The sequence below is a fragment of the Homo sapiens genome, chromosome 2, assembly GCF_000001405.40.
Source record: "Homo sapiens chromosome 2, GRCh38.p14 Primary Assembly".
Classification (NCBI taxonomy): Eukaryota; Metazoa; Chordata; class Mammalia; order Primates; family Hominidae; genus Homo; species Homo sapiens.
The window spans coordinates 147,308,736-147,325,609 of record NC_000002.12 but is presented as its reverse complement, the minus strand read 5'-3'; the positions used below and the strand labels follow the sequence as shown (position 1 = coordinate 147,325,609).

Here is a 16,874-nt window from a genome sequence, read left to right as displayed (position 1 = left end):
TGATCATTAAACCCAACCACATTTGCACAAAATGGTAGAGTTAGCCTATCCCTTTCTGCCTTAAGTCCTGGTGCTTACGTCTCTTTTTTACTAATACGTGTCCTTTCTGGCATTTTTTCTTTCTAGAACAGGGCACTTTCATCTGCATTAGAAACGTGTTAGGCAGATACTCTTTTTCCTCGATGATTTTTTTTTTTAAATGACATCTTGGAACTCATCTGGTGACTCTTGGTCAGCAGAAACTACTTCTCCTGTTATGCTGACATTTTAATAAGCCAAAGCTCTTTATGAAATTATCAAACCATTCTTTGCTGGCATTAAATTATCCAGGTTTAGATCCTTCCCTTTCCTTTTGCTTTAAGTTGTCATATAATGACTTCACTTTTTCTTGAATCATTTTAGAGTCTATAAGAATGCCTTTCTTATATCAATCCTATACCCACATAAAAGCTGGGTTTTCAATATGAGATAAAAATATATTGCACAAAAAGTGCAAAGTTTTCATGTTTGCTTGCACAGTGGCACAAAAACCTCATAAATTTTATTTTTCTTTTCTTTTTTTCACAATGGTTCTTATGCTGAATTCTTTTATCTTGAAATGCTGGACAACTGCAGCTGTAGACCTCAAACTATAGTATCTATGAAGTAATTCAACTTTTTCTTGTAATGCCATGGCTTTTCTCTCCTTGGGAGCACGTCCAGCATCACTAGTGGCACTTTGTAGGGGGTCACATGGTGTTATTCAAAGTTTACTACATTGCACTAAACATGATGAGAAATACACAATAACCCAAGGTATCACTTTTTACTGTGATACGAAATTTACTGGAGACAAAATCCTCATCAGAAATGATTTGTGTCACATGGCTTTAAGTGGATACTCACAATACTTGGAATCACCACAGTAGTAACAGGAGGTGGCTACAAAGTTATTACAGTGGTACAATATGCACTTAATTTTATGCAGTTATGATTTAATACTGCATTTTTACGTTTGTTTACATTTCTCTTGACAGCAAACGGCTTCATATATGGTCTGTGCTTGTGTGCGTAAGTTTGGATAAATGTTGGTTTTTTTCTAATAGGTTTGTGTATATTTTATCATTGCAATTGATAAAACAGTGTCTCCATATATTTTATGCATTCATAACACATCTACCTTTTTCTTATTTTTTTAATATTTCTAGGTTATGTGGTTTGTCTGCAAGTTTTTTTTCAAATATTTGCAAATCTCCACACAATTTTCAACATATTTGTTGAAAAAATTCTTACGTTAGAGGATCTGTGCGGTTCAAACTGTGTTGTTCAAGGCCCAACTTTATGAATATGTAGATATACCACATTTTCTTTATCCATTTGTACACCAATGGGCATTAAGTTGTTTTCATTTTTCATATCTTGGCTATTGTGAATAATGCTGCAATGAACATGGAAGTGCAGATATCTTTATGAGGTGGTGATTTCTTCTCCTTTGGGTGTATACCAGAAAAAGAATTGCTGGATTGTAGAGTAGTTCTTTTTGTTTTTTTTTTCAGGTCAGATGGGTAATGTGCCAAGATCATAAAAAGGTTCAGAGGGTGGCACATCTCACACATTCTTGTGAAAACCCAATCATCGTGCTCATGAACTACAAAAAGATGAGTAGTTCTATTTTTAATTTCTTTAGAAACCTCCATACTGTCTTTCATAATGGCTGTACCATTCTAGAGTCCCACCAACCGAGTAGTAGGATTATCTTTTCTCCATACCCTTGTCAACATTTGTTATCACTTGTCTTTTTGATAGTAGCCATTCCTCCAGGTGTGAGGTGATCCCTATGATTTTAATTTTTACTTCCCTGATGATTAGTAGTGTTGGATACCTTTTCATATACTAGTTGTCCATTTTTATGTCTTCTTTGAGGAAATATGTGTTTAGGTCCTTTATCTAGTTTTTAATCAGGTTATTTATTTTTCTGCTATTGAGTTGAAAGAGTTCTTTATAAATTTTGGATACTAACCCCCTATCAGAAATGTGGTTTGCAATAATTTTTTCCTAGTCCATAGGCTGCTTATTCATTTGTTGATTATTTCCTTTGTTGTACAAAAGCTTTTTAGCTTGATATAGTTCCATTTGCTTATTTTTATTTTTGTAACCTGAGCTTTGAGTGTGATATTCGAAACGTCATTGCCAAGGGCAATTCAAGGAGATTTTCTCCTATGCTTCTCGGAATTTATGACTTCAGGTCTTACACATAGGTTTTTAAAAAATCTATTTTGAGTAGACTTTTGTATATGGTGTAAGATAAGGGCCTAATTTCGTTCTTTTGCATGTGAAAATCCAGTTTTCCCAGCACCATTTATTGAAGAGACTGTTCTTTCTCCATTGTGTCTCAATGATGAAAATTAAAAATATACCTATTGAAGTTAGCAATAAAAGGAAGATGTCCACTGATATTGCTGCTTTCAAAATAAATTCCTAGGAAATAAAACTAGATAAGAAAAAGGATTAGAAGTGTTATACTTCTAATATAACACTTATTAGGTGTTATAATACCTAATTAATTATATTGTATATAATATTTGAAATATATGCAATATTATCTGTTATATATGTAATATAATATAATTAATTTAATTAATTAGCAAAGAGAACAGTAAGTAGTCATACTTTATGGGAAATGGAAGAAGTCAGCTGAAAAATCCAAGAATTAGTAGTAAAAATATTTTAAGAATTTCTTCTAATTGATAAGAAAATAAAGCCTAAACAAGAAAATATAAAATATGAATTAGTAATTTATAGGAGAAATAAAAAGAATGAATGCAAATGTTGGTTATAACAGAGTTAAAACTTTAAACAGAAATGATTCTAATCTTTGCCCTTAAAAGTGACAAATATTAAATACATTGACCTTTGCCCAGGATTTATTATATGTAAAAAAACACATATGCTTACACATTGTGATAGTTTTATAAGTAAGCCTGGTCTTTTCTGAGAGTAATTTGACTCTGTCTATAAAAATGTATGTATATACTCAGCAATTCTAGCTCTAACCTAATGGAAATTCATTCATGCAAAAATATGCACATAAGAAAATGATAATTGAAGCGGTGTTCTTAAGCATAAGACTGGGTAATTTATGAAGAAAAGAGGTTTAATGGACTTCACGGTTCCTCAGGCTGTTCAGGAAGCATGGCTAGGCCTCAGGAAACTTACAATTATGGCAGAAGGCGAAGGGGAAGCAAGCACGTCTTACCATGGCAGAGCAGGAGGTTGGAGAAGTGCCACACACTTTTAAATGATCAGATCTCATGAGAACTCACTTACTATCACAAGAATAACAAGGAGGAGATCTGTCCCCATGATGCAGTCACCTCCTATCAGGTCCCTCCTCCAATTTGACATGAAATTCAGGCAGAGACACAAACATAAACTATATCATTCCACCCCTGGCCCCTCCCAAATCTCATGTCCTTCTCACATTGCAAAATACAATGATCCCTTCTCGACAATCTCCCAGTCTTAACTCATTTCAGCATTAACTCAAAAGTCTACAGTACAAAATCTTATCTGAGACAAGGTAAGTCCCTTTTGCCTCTGAGCCTGTAAAATCAAAAACAAGTTAGTTACTTCCAAGATAAAATAAGGGTACAGGCATTGGGTAAATGCTTCAATTACAAGTTGGAGAAATGGCCAAAACAAAGGGGCTACATGCCCCATGCAAGTTGAGAACCCAGCAGGGCAGTCATTAAATCTTAAAGCTCTGAAATAGTTTCCTTTGACTCCATGTCTCACACCCAGGGCATGCTGATGCAAGAGGTGGGCTCCCACAACCTTGGGCAGCTCTGCCTCTGCGGCTCTGCAGGGTACAGCACCCACAGCTGCTTTAACAGGCTGGCACTGAGTGCCTGTGGCTTTTCCAGGTGCATGATGCAAGCTGCTGTTATAGCTACCATTCTGGAGTCTGGAGGATGGTGGCCCTTTTCTCACAGCTCCATTAGGCAGTGCCCCTGTGGGGACTCTTTCTGGGGGTTCCAACCCTACATTTCCCTTCCACACTGCCCTAGTGGAGGTTCTCCATGAGGGCTCCACCCCAATGCAGACTTTTGTCTGGACATCCAGGTGTTTCCGTATGTCCTCTGAGATCTAGGTGGAGGTTTCCAAACCTTGGTTCTTGCCTCTGCACACCTGCAGGCCTGACACCACATGGAAGCTGCCAAGGTTTGGGGCTTGCCCCCTCTGAAGGTATGGCCTAAGCTATACATTGGGCCCTTTTAGCCATGGATGGAATTGGAGTGGCTGGGACACAGGGTGCCATGTCCTGAGGATGCATAGAGCAGCAGAGCCCTGGGCCTGGCCCATGAAGCCATTTTTCCCTCCTAGGCCTTCAGGCCTGTGATGGGAGGGGCTGCCATGAAGATCTCTGAAATGCCCTGGAGACATTTTCCCCATTGTCTTGGCTATTAACATTTGTCTTCTCATTACGTATACAAATTTCTGCAGCCGGCTTGAATTTCTCCCCAGAAAATCAGTTTTTCTTTTCTACCATATGGTCAGGCTGCAAATTTTCCAAACTTTTAGGCTCTGCTTTCCTTTTAAATATAAGTTCCAATTTCAGACCATCTATTTCTTCATGCATATGAACATACACTTTTAGAAATAGCCAGGTCACTTCTTGAATGCTTTGAGCTTAGAAACTTTTTCTACCAGATACCCTAAATCATATCTCTCAAGTTCAAAGATCCACAGATTTCTAGTGCGGGGGCAAAATGCCACCAGTCTCTTTGCTAAAGCATAGCAAGAGTGACCTTTACGCCATTTCCCAATAAGTTCCTCATCTCCATCTGAGGCTCCCTCAGCCTGGACTTTACTGTCCATATCATTATCAACATTTTGGTCAAAACCATTCAGCAAGTCTCTAGAAGTTTCCAAACTTTCCTGCATCTTCCTATCTTCTTCTGAGACCTTCAAACTGTTCCAACCTCTACCCATTACCCAGTTCCAAAGTTGCTTCCACATTTCAGGTACCTTTATAGCAGTGTGCCACTCTCCTGGTACCAATTTTCTGTATTAGTCTGTTTTCACACAGCTATAAAGAACTACCTGAGACTGGGTAATTTATGAAAAAAGGTTTAATTGATTCACAGTTCTGCAGGCTTAACAGGAAGCATGACTGGGAGGCCTCAGGAAAGTTACAATCATGATGGAGGGCAAAGGGGAAGCAAGCATGTCTCACCATGGCAGAGCAGGAGAAAGAGAGAGAGAGAAGGGGGAAGTGCCACATACTTTCAAACAACCAGCTCTCATGAGAACTCATAATCACAAGACCAAGAAGGGGCATGTCTGCTCTGATGATTCAATCACCTCCCACCAGGGCCCTCCCCTGACACATGGAGATTAAAGTTTGAGATGAAATTTGGGTGAGGACAGAGAGCCAAACCATATCTCACACCAAACAGAAATTCTCTAAATTTCTATTGTTAAGGTAATGTTTAAATTAATAGAGACTTTGTACATTGTAAATGTACGTTGTGATAGATCCTAGGCCAAGATGGCTGATTAGAAGCAGCTGAGGTTCACAGCTCTCACAGAGAAGAAAGAAAACAGCAAGTGAATCCTACATCTTCAGCTGAGGTATCCAGGTTCTCACATTGGGACTGACTAGACAATAAACGTGACCCTAAGAGCAAGGAAAAACAGGGTAGGGCATGAAACCAGGAAAACTCCTATCTCCAGCCAAGTGGGGCAGGGTCACACAATTACTCATTGCTTTTCCTTGATTTTCTCACGGATCTTTGCAACCCATGGAGCAGATCTCCTCATGAACCCATGCCAGCAGGGCCTTGGGTCTGAAGCACAGAGGTGTGTGGTCTCTCAGTGGCCACTCAGAGATGCCACTCAGGGAGACATGGGGGTTTTTGCATACTCTGGTCCCGGGAATTCTGGTGAGACAGAAGATCCTCCTTGCACTCCCCTGGAAAGGGAACAGAAGTTAGAGAGCCAAGTGGCATCACTCTGTGGACTCCACTCCCACAGCACCTCACAAGTTAAGACCCATTGGCTTGGAAACCCAGCTGCCAGCCTGTGGCAGCAAGCTGGAAACTGCCTGAAATGACTGGGATCCCGGGGCGAGGGGTGACTGCCATTTCTGCAGCTAGAACCCGCCATTTTGGCCTGCTGGATCCAGGGAGTCTGGGCAGTCTGGACTGGGAGGAATTCCCCACAGCACAGCACAGCTGCTCTGGCAGATTGTAGCCAGACTGCTTCTTTAAGTGGGACCCTGATCCATCCGTCTGTGTCCAGAATTGGTTCCTTCCAGTGGGTTCTTGGTCTCGCTGACTTCAAGAATGAAGCCACGGACCCTCATGGTGAGTGTTACAGTTCTTAAAGATAGCATGTCTGGAGTTTGTTCCTTCAGATGTTCAGATGTGTCCAGAGTTTCTTCCTTCCAGTGGGTTCGTGGTCTTGCTGACTTCAGGAGTGGAGCCACAGACCTTCGCAGTGAGTGTTACAGCTCTTAAAGGTGGTGCATCCAGAGTTGTTTGTTCCTCCTGGTGGGTTTGTGGTCTCACTGACTTGAGGAGTGAAGCCGCAGACCCTCACAGTGAGTGTTACAGCTCATAAAGGTAGTGCAGACCCAAAGAATGAGCAGCAGCAAGATTTATTGTGAAAAGCAGAAGAACAAAGCTTCCACAGTGTGGAAGGGGACTGGGACCCAGGCAGGTTGCCACTGCTGGCTCGGTGGCCAGCTTTTATTCCCTTATTTGGCCGCGCCACGTTCTGCTGATTAGTCCATTTTACAGAGCACTGATTGGTGCATTTTTACAGAGTGCTGATTGGTGCGTTTACAAACTTTAGCTAGACAGAAAAGTTCTCCAAGTCCCCACTCGACCCAGGAAGTCCAGCTGGCTTCACCTCTCAATCCCCCATCTAAACAGGACACCCCAACTGCTGTTGGGAATTGGGCGATGACCACTCTAGCTACTTCCTGCTGGATAGGGGTGAAGAAGGGGCCCTGCAGTTGTAGTGTCCTCCAGAGGGGAACTCTTTAGGCCAGTGAAAGGGCCAGCGGGTCACTCCAGGGGTCCTCGGTAGAAGTTGTTAGCTGAGCTTATTTGGGGTTCCATTTGTAAGATCATCTGTAGCTTGATGGCCTTGATCCTAGAGGAAACAAATTTGACAAGAGGGTTAAAAATACAGGGCCCAAAGGCGAATGATAGCAAGATGGCTGCCACAGGACCTAGAAAGGGGAGAAGCCATGTTGCCCAACTCCAGTGGTTGGTATAAGAGTTTGAAAGGCATTGTCTGATTTCAGAAGCCTTTTCCTGTAAATGCCGGGCAGCATCTCTTACTATCCCTGACTGGTTAGTATAAAAACAACACTCTTCCCCTAAGAAGGTGCAGAGTCCTCCTTTCTCAGCAGTGAGGAGGTCTAAGCCTTGGCAGTTTTGGAGAGTCACTGCTGCCAAACAGTCTATTTGGGATTGTAGAGTAAGGATAGATTTTGTTATTTCTTGCAAACTGAGAAATCCTTTGAGAGTGTGTGGTAGTAGGATACTGAAGTAGATAAACTGGCTATTCCAGTTCCTGTAGCAGTAGCCATTCCTAGCCCTATAAATAGGGGTATCAGTTGTATGGCTCTGCACTGATGGACTTGAGCTTTGAGGGGTACCAATTGGGTCTGATTTTCTGGGGCAATTTTAATGTTGGGACTTAGAGAGACTAAGATGCAGGTGCCTGTCCAGTTAGTGGGGAGGCAGATATAGGTTGACATTCCACATAAGGATATACCTTGGCTGGGTAGACAGAACTGGTTGTATATGTTAAAAAGGTGTGTAAGTTTGTTGTTTTCATTTTCCCATACTCCTAGAATACTTGCTAAGGTAGCTCCGGTGAGTGGCTGGAAAGGGGTGTTTGGAGCAAACTGAGTGGCTCCCTGTGTTCTATTTTCCCATTGGAGAAAAAATCATTTCATATCTACTAGGAACCATTCGAGAGAGTGATTGAAAGAGGGGATGAGAAGGCATTCACTAGTGGTGGGGGTGCTGCTGCAGAGGGTCCAGGGGTGAATGGTCATCCAGGGAGTATGTTTGCCATTACAAAACCTGGACTGTTTGTTAAACAGGGAGGAGGCAATGATTTTTGGAGGCCCTGAGAGGCGGACAAGCCATCTGAATGGAGCTGTTTGAGTGACTCAGAAGTTACTATGATTAGTTGGGGCTTGAAGTTATAGGGTGTAATTACACTGATGGAATAGTAAGTGCCCCAGGGGCAGGCCTGATAGCAGGTTGCATTGGATGCATAAAGGGGCTTGGAAAGTTAAGATGGTATTCATAGTTACAGGACCGTGTATGGGCTTTTCATTACTTGTGTAATAGGTGAGGTTGGAAAGGTAAGAACATAAAAGTTGGATTGCACGTCCTGTTAGACGTCCTATCAGAGATGGGGAAGTCGGCTAATGATTGCATATTCAGAAGTCAGAAAGGGTCTTTTCCTTCATAATGAGGGTGGTAGGTTAAGTTGCTAAAGACCCAATTTTTTTGCGGGAATGGGAGTGGCAACATAAGAGAGATACAAAGCCAACTGTCATTTGCCAGGGAAGGATTGGTTTTAAGTATTTTCCACTGGCTGCCTTCAGGTATAAATACCTTTCCTTCTTCCGTTGTTAACCACCCTGAAGGGAGAAAACTATGTCTCTGTGAAAGTCCCCATTCCATTTCAGTAGGGGAATACTGGGGCTTAATCTCTTGGAGGGGGTTGTTCCATACCAAGGGTCCTTCTGTAGGTATTTCTAATGGGAGGTTCTGCCTGGCAACAATTTTGGCCTCAGCATCTGCCCGACGGTTTCCTTCTGCCTTTTCTCTTTCACCTTCTGATGGCTTTGGCAGTGTAAGACTGCCACCTCTTTGGGTTTTTGCACTGTGTGCAATAACTCCATAATTTCCTTGTGGTATTTAATGGGGGTGCCCCCAGAGGTTAGGAACTCCCTTTCTTTCCATATTGCAGCATGGGCATGTAGGATTAGATAAGCATACTTGCTATCTGTATACACATTTATTCTTTTTCCTTTTCCCAGTTCTAAGGCTCGGGTAAGTGCCACTAGTTCTGCTAACTGGGTGCTAGTCCCTGGGGAAAGAGGCTTACTTCCAAGTACAGTTACATCACTAACTATGGCATAACCTGCCCTTTGTATCCCATTCTCTACAAATGAACTTCCACTGTTATATAGGTTAAAGTCAGGATTAGCTAAGGGGACTTCTAAGAGATCATCTTGGGTGGCATAAGTCTGGACTATAATTTGCTGGCAGTCATGCTTGATTGGTTCCCCATCTTCTGGGAGAAAAGTGGCAGGGTTGATGGCTATGCACATATGTATTTGAAGCACTGGTTCCTCAAGGAGTAGTGCCTGGTATCTAAGTAGGCAGTTGTCTGATGGCCATAAACTGCCTTTGGCACCTAGTATGCCATTCACATCATGAGTAGTCCAGACAGTGAAATCCTTTCCTTGTATTATTTTGATAGCCTCTGACACTAAGACAGCCACTGCCACAACTGTCCTTAAACAGTGAGGCCAGCCTTTTGCTACTACATCAATTTCCTTACTTAGGTATGCCACTGGTTGTGGGGTTGTCCTGTGAGTCTGAGTAAGGACTCCAAGAGCTATCCCTGCTCTCTCTATGACATATAAAGCGAAGTTTTGTCCTGTGGGAAGGCTTAAAGCTGGAGCTTGTACTAGGGCCTGCTTTAAGGTTTCGAAGGCTGTTTCTGCCTCTGGTTCCCATTCTACTAGGTGAGTATTTGCCCTCTCCATCTCCTTGATTAGAGTATAGAGGGTCTTGGCTATCTCGCTGTATCTGGGGATCCATAGTTGGCAAAAGCCAGTGATTCCAAGGAACTCTGGGAAATTTTTTAATGTCTTAGGGCAAGGATAAGCCACTATAGGCTGTATTCGTTCCTTGCTGAGGGCCCTAGTCCTTCTGGCTAAGATTAGGCCTAGATATTTGACCTGCTGTAGGCAAAGCTGGGCCTTCGACCTAGAGGCCTCGTACCCTTGATTAGCTGGAAAGTTCAAGAGATCTAGAGTAGCCTGCTGGCATGAAATTCTGAACTGGCAGCCAAAAGTAAATCGTCCACATACTGAAGGACCAGAGTGCCTGGACTTGAGAAGTGGCCTAGATCTTGGGCCTGTGCCTGACCAAACAGATGAGGGCTATCTCTAAACCTTTGGGGCAAGACCATCCACATAAGTTGGGATGTGTGGTCTGTGGGATCCTCAAAGGCAAAAAGAAACTGGGAGTCAGAGTGCAGGGGAATACAGAAGAAGGCATCCTTGAGGTCCAGAACAGTGAACCATTCTGCTTCCTCTGGTACTTGAGAGAGAAGGGTATAGGGGTTGCGTACAACTGGATATAGAGGAATTACTGCCTCATTGATGAGTCTAAGATCTTGCACTAGTCTCCACTGACTGTTCAGTTTTTGTACTCCTAGAATTGGGGTGTTGCAGGGACTGCTGCATTTTCTTACTGAGTCTTGAGCTTTTAAATGTTTAACAATATCCTGTAATCCTTTATGAGCTTCAGGCCTTAAGGGATATTGCCTTTGATAAGGAAAACTGATGGGGTCTTTTAGCCTGATTTGGAGTGGATGGGCATTTTTTGCCCTTCCAAATTGTCCTTCCAATGCCCAGACTTCAGGGTTGATTCCCTCAAGTAGGGGACAACAAATGGGTAACTTGTTCCCTGTCTTCATGGAGATAATAGCTCCAGCTTTGGCTAATATATCCCTCCCTAATAAGGGTGTGGGACTTTCAGGCATAACAAGAAAGGCATGTGAAAAGAGCAAAGTCTCCCAATTACAACTGAGGAGGTGGGAGAAATACCTGGTTACAGGCTGTCCCAGGATTCCTTGGATGGTAACGGACCTTGAGGACAGTCGTCCAAGACAGGGGATTAACACTGAGAAGGTCGTGCCAGTGTCCAGGAGGAAGTCAATTTCCTGGCCCTCAATGATTAAACATACCCAGGGCTCAGTGAGGGGGTGATGACATGAACGGGTGCTTGCCGCAGTCATCCTCAGTCCTGTCATTGGATCATCTGGTTGGGGGCTTCTGGCCCAGAGAAGCTTTGCCCTCTGGGGTAGTGTGACTTCCAGTGATTGCCTCCGTATAGTGGACATGGACGATGGGGCGGCTTGTTTCTCGTTGGACAATCTTTTTTAAGGTGTCCTTGCAAACCACACTGGTAACAAGCCCCACCAGGTGATTGGCCTGCTCCATTTTCTGTCCTCTTTGAACCACCAAGGTTTGTCTGAGGGCCATGACTAAGGCTATGGCCTTTCTCTGATCTCGCTTTTCCTTTTGGGCCTGTTCCTCTTGGTCCCTACTATAGAATACCAAGGTTGCCAGGCTTAGTAATGCCTCCAGATTTTGTTCAGGGCCCAGGGCTCACTTTTGGAGCTTTCTTCTGATATCTGTGGTTGATTGGGTAATAAACTTATCTTTTAGGATCAATTGACCCACTAGTGAGTTGGGTGACAGAGGAGTATATTTTCTTAAGGCCTCCTGTAGCTGCTCAAGGAAGGCAGAAGGATTTTCTTCCTTTCCCTGAGTTATGGTGGACATCATTGAATAATTCATGGGCTTTTTCCTAATTCTCCTTAGTCCTTCTAGAACACAGGTCAACAGATGTTTACGACTCCAGTCCCCATGATCTGAGTCGAGGTCCCAGTGGGCATCCATACTGGGGACAGCTTGCTGACTGGTAGGGAATTTGTCCCTTTCTTCAGCTGTCATTCTTTAATTTACTTGATGAAGATACCAGGTATCTCCAAACTCTTGGGCTGCAGCTAAAGCTGCATTCTTTTCATTAAAGGCCAGGGTTTGATCTAACAATAGCAGGACATCTCTCCAAGTGAGATTGAAGGTTTGCCCTAGACCCTGTAGGACACCTATGTACCTATCAGGGTCATCTGAAAACTTCCCCAGGTCTGCCTTGATCTGCTTTAAATCAGAGAGGGAGAAGGGGACATGTACCTGGGTTGGGCCAAATTCCTGTCCCCCTACAGCTTGCAGGGGATATAACCAATAGCCTGGGAGTTTTTGTTGTCCCTTAAAGATTTCTTTGCTTGTTTCCTTCTGGGCAGGGGATATTAGAGGAGGCTTATCATTAATAGGAAGGGGAGCTATAGGGTGGCTAGGATATGGAGGTAAGCTGAGAGGTCCTCCTGTGGGATGTAAATTGCAAGCTTTGCATAGTTGTGGATTCTCCTTCAATGAAAAGAAAGCTTGGACATAAGGTATTTCATTCCATTTGCCTTCCCTTTTACAGAAAAAGTCAAGCTGCAGGATAGTATTGTAATTTATACTTCCCTCAGGTGGCCATTTTTCCCCATCAGAGAAAGAATATTGAGGCCAGGCCATAGTGCAGAAAAAAATGAGCCACCTCTTTTTCAGGGTTTGCAGGTCAAATTGGCCCCAATGGCTTGGGATGCATTTCAAGGGTGAGCCTGTTGATGCCTGAGTGTTTCCCATCTGAAAGACAAAACCACCCATGGTTTTGGTTTGTTTGTTTCTCCCCCTGCCCAAGAACCCTCAACAGTCCCTGGACCTTGCTGATTGGAATAGTTGTGCTCACTGACACAGCAGTAGAAACACCTCTTGCCCAAGAACCCGCAACAGTCCCTGGACACTGCTGATTGGAATAGTTGTGCTCACCAATGCAGCAGCAGAAACACTAGTTTTCCTCCTAGACCACAAGGAGGACCAAGGAAGGTCAGATTTAGTGTCCCTTACTGACACATTCTCGAAAACCTGTTAGGGTCCTAAGCATTCTCCTGTTAGTATTGGGACCTTAGCACTGTCCTATAAAGATGTTATGCCCCAAAAGTGAAGTGGAGGGCCATACCCTAAGGGAGGGTAGGGATCTCCAGAGTTGGAAGAGTGATGCCTTTTGTCCTCACTTAAATGAACAGGAAAGATACCATTTCTGAAGTGCCGCATATCCTGGCTTGAGGAATAGCTTTTGTTAGGCCTGCTAGTCTGAGGAGGGATCCTAAAATTCCAGATAGTCCCCCCACCGCCGATGGGGCTTTGGGCAAAAATTATGTCTTTCTGATTGGTGAGCCCGGGTGCCTAAAGAAGGGAATAGAGTCCTGGAGTTTATACTAGAAATCATTCTTATAGGAGAAACTAGAAAAGCACCAGAGACAGGGAGTGGTTTTTAGAAGCAGGACTAGCCTTGGAGAAGAGAGGCGAGAGGACGTTTGTCTGACAGGCATTAGGACCCAGGAGGCTAGGTTCAAGATAGATAGGATAGATGGGCAAGTCTCGCTTGGGCGACATGACTTTGAGAGCTCTGCTCATGGCCGCAGGGTCAACCAACTTGTTGTCGGGACCCCGGAGCTGAATGGCTTTCCTCTCTGTCAACCCTCGGCTCAGTCCAGAAGTACAGGAAAAGCGGAAGCTGGTTCCAGGCAAACCAACATTCCCAACTTCGAGGGGTCAGGGGTTGTAAGAGAGCTCTTTCCCAGAAAGCCTGGCACCCATGTCTTTAGTCTGGTGGCTGCATTAGTCACTTTTAACTGGCTGGCAGGTGCCTGGTATTTAGCCCCCAAATTCTAAGGAAAGATAGGACAGAATAGCTAGTGAAAGGGGTCCGATGGTACTCACCGCTTGGTGATTGTCCCTTCGTGGTCGCCAAAATGTGTCCAGAATTGGTTCCTTCCAGTGGGTTCTTGGTCTTGCTGACTCCAAGAATGAAGCCATGGACCCTTGCGGTGAGTGTTACATTTCTTAAAGATAGTGTGTCCAGAGTTTGTTCCTTCAGATGTTCAGATGTGTCTGGAGTTTCTTCTTTCCAGTGGGTTCATGGTCTTGCTGACTTTAGGAGTGAAGTCACAGACCTTTGCAGTGAGTGTTACAGCTCTTAAAGGTGGCGTGTCCAGAGTTGTTTGTTCCTCCCAGTGGGTTCATGGTCTTGCTGACTTCAAGAGTGAAGCCGCAGACCCTCGTGGTGAGTGTTAAAGCTCATAAAGGTAGTGCAGACCCAAAGAGTGAGCAGCAGCAAGATTTATTGTGAAGAGCGAAAGAACAAAACTTCCACAGCGTGGAAGGGGACCTGAGCGGGTTGCCACTGCTGGCTCGGGTGGCCAGCTTTTATTCCCTTATTTGGCCCCACCACATCCTGCAGATTGGTCCATTTTACAGAGCACTGATTGGGGCGTTTTTACAGAGTGCTGATTGGTGCATTTACAAACCTTTAGCTAGACAGAAAAATTCTCCAAGTCCCCACTCGACCCAGGAAGTCCAGCTGGCTTCACCTCTCACCTTCTCACTGTGTGGGGCCTCCCTCTGGGAATTTCAACAACTCTAGCCAGAGTTTTACAACAGACTCTGATCTCTCTCTGGGGTGGAGCCACCAGTGGGAGGGGTGGCCACTGTATCTGCAGCTTAGCTGACAGCCGTTCCTGCCTGCTGGCTCTGGAAAGTCTGGGTGGTCTGGATATGGGGGATTGCCCCCAAGTGCAGCATACTCACTCTGCCAGGAGGCAGCCTGACACTTCTTTAAGCAGGACTCTAATCCCATTCCTTCTGATTGGGTGAGACCTCTAATAGGGATTTCCAGACACCTCCTACAGAAGAGTTCTGACTGGCATCAAGTTGGTACCCCCCAGGATGGAACTCCCAGAGGAAGGAGCAGGCTGCCATATTTGCTGTTTTGCAGTGTATAGGGGTGGGGGATAGAATGGGACTTTCATTTCTTACTGCCCATATTTTCGATTTGTTTGAAGTTTCATAAGTGAGAATGTAATACTCATGCAGTCATTCAAAATAGAAAAAGACAAATTAGATTTTCTCCACTGTATTTACTTTCTGCCTATAGCTTTTTAACAACCTTTTGTTTTTATTTTATAAAAATTATTTATGTTTCTGTTGGACAATGTAATGTACATTGTGAAATTGTTACTACAGTCAAGTTAATTGAAATACCCATCACTTCACATAGTTACCTTTTCTATGTGTGTGTGATGAGACTATTCAAGATCTAAAAGTTTTAGTTATGTAGAATGACTAAGTTCTAGAGACCTCATGTATGATGACTGTAGTGAATAATACTGTACTATATGCTTGTGGATTGATGAGTGATAATGCCTATCTCACAGCACCAAAACCTGCAGCATAAAAGCCAGAGGCAGAAGACTTTTTCTCCGTCTGCTGCAACTGCTCTTGCCTACCAGGATCCATCTTGGGTTTCTTATGCTCAAGTCCAGAACTTTTGGTTCTAGCACTCTATGAAGACTCTTCTCATTGCAATTTTGGACTCAGTTTCCCATTCTCTCTAAGATTTTGTTGAGATAAAGCAGTTATTTCATTGTAATGTCTATGCTTTTATTTGCCATATAATATAATTATCAATCTTTTAAATTTGACCTGTCATCATCATAGAATCTCTTTACAGAGAAAGAAACTGGGTCTCAGTGAGCTTGACTGACAAATGCATATGGCCCTATATGGCCTGCGTGATCTTGGAGCCTCTGTTTTCTCATCTATGAAATGAATAATTTGTAATTAATGATGTACATGATCTTTTTCAACTTAATCCATTCATTGTACTTAACATAGATAAAAATCTATTACTTTCTATGGCATACATACCCTAGATATAGGTAGATATGTTTTATTGTTTATTTTTTGCCATGTGTTATTAGTCACATAACAATTACCATCACAGCTTGTGCTGGGTTATGGCAACATGAAGACCCAATTAAGCAAACCTCTGAAGCCTCAAGACAGAAATAAATATTTTCCCAGATAAAGCATGAATAAACACACACATGCACACACACATGCATTATGTTGCTTAATAGACCAAACCAAAATGCTTTGTATTTGATTGCATTATAAAATAATTTCATATTAACATTTAATGATTTCTTAATATATAATTATGAAAACATGTTTGCACTGAAAGACCAATACAATTGGTAAAATCTAAATTATGTAACCTTGAGGATCATGTTCATCTTACTTCACAAATTAGAATATATTTCTTATGGATTTTGTAGAGCAAAATCAATGATTATATTCTCAAATGATAAACTATGCATTAGCTGAATGAACATCTTAGATACAGAATGTTGACAAGCTAAATATGTGAGAAAGAAGGAAGGAACATACCAAGAAAAGCAAAGAAAGCCAAAAGCTAGTGAGTATTTTAGGCTACTGGCCTTTAAAGAAGTATTTTTCCCATTAACATTATTATCTTCCTTGAAATACAGGATTTATACTAGAAAAGATTTTTTAGGACAGATCCCTAAGTTTCAAATCCAAGTTTCTACCATGGAGCTTAAAAATTTGACCCAGCAATCTCATTGCTGCGTATACACCCAAAGGATTATAAATCATTCTACTGTAAAGACACATGCACACGTATGTTTATTGCAGTACTATTCACAATAGCAAAGATTTGGAACCAACCCAAATGCCCATCAATAACAGACTGGATAAAGAAAATGTGGCCCATATACACCATGGAATACTATGCAGCCATATAAAGGATGAGTTCATATCCTTTGCAGGGACATGGATGAAGCTGGAAAGCATCACTATCAGTGAACTAACACAGGAACAGAAAACCAAATGCTGCATGTTCTCACTTGTAAGTGGGAGTTGAACAATGAGAATACATGCACACAGGGAGGGGAACATCACATACCAGGGCCTGTCAGGGGGTGGGGGGCTGGGGGAGAAATAGCATTAGGAGAAACACCTAATGTAGATGACAGGTTGATGGGTGCAGCAAACCACCATGGCACGTGTATACCTATGTAACAAACCTGCATGTTCTACACATGTATCCCAGAACTTAAAATATAGTTTAAAAAATGACTATCCAGTT

At 42.8% G+C, this 16,874-nt stretch overlaps 1 non-coding gene across 1 annotated transcript, besides 1 other annotated feature; it reads right to left on the bottom strand.

Annotated features, from left to right (window-relative positions):
• Positions 1-1,534: 1,534 nt before the first annotated feature.
• On the bottom strand, positions 1,535-1,639 carry LOC124906150 (small nucleolar RNA U13). Its single transcript, XR_007088739.1, has one exon. It is a non-coding gene; the product is annotated as a small nucleolar RNA U13 (small nucleolar RNA).
• Positions 12,214-12,746: an enhancer, noted in NCBI's record as "NANOG hESC enhancer chr2:148070432-148070964 (GRCh37/hg19 assembly coordinates)". NCBI's record gives its function as "activates a minimal SCP1, AML or CMV promoter by ChIP-STARR-seq in naive H9 embryonic stem cells {active_cell/tissue: H9 hESC(naive)}" and the evidence as "EXISTENCE:reporter gene assay evidence [ECO:0000049][PMID:30033119]".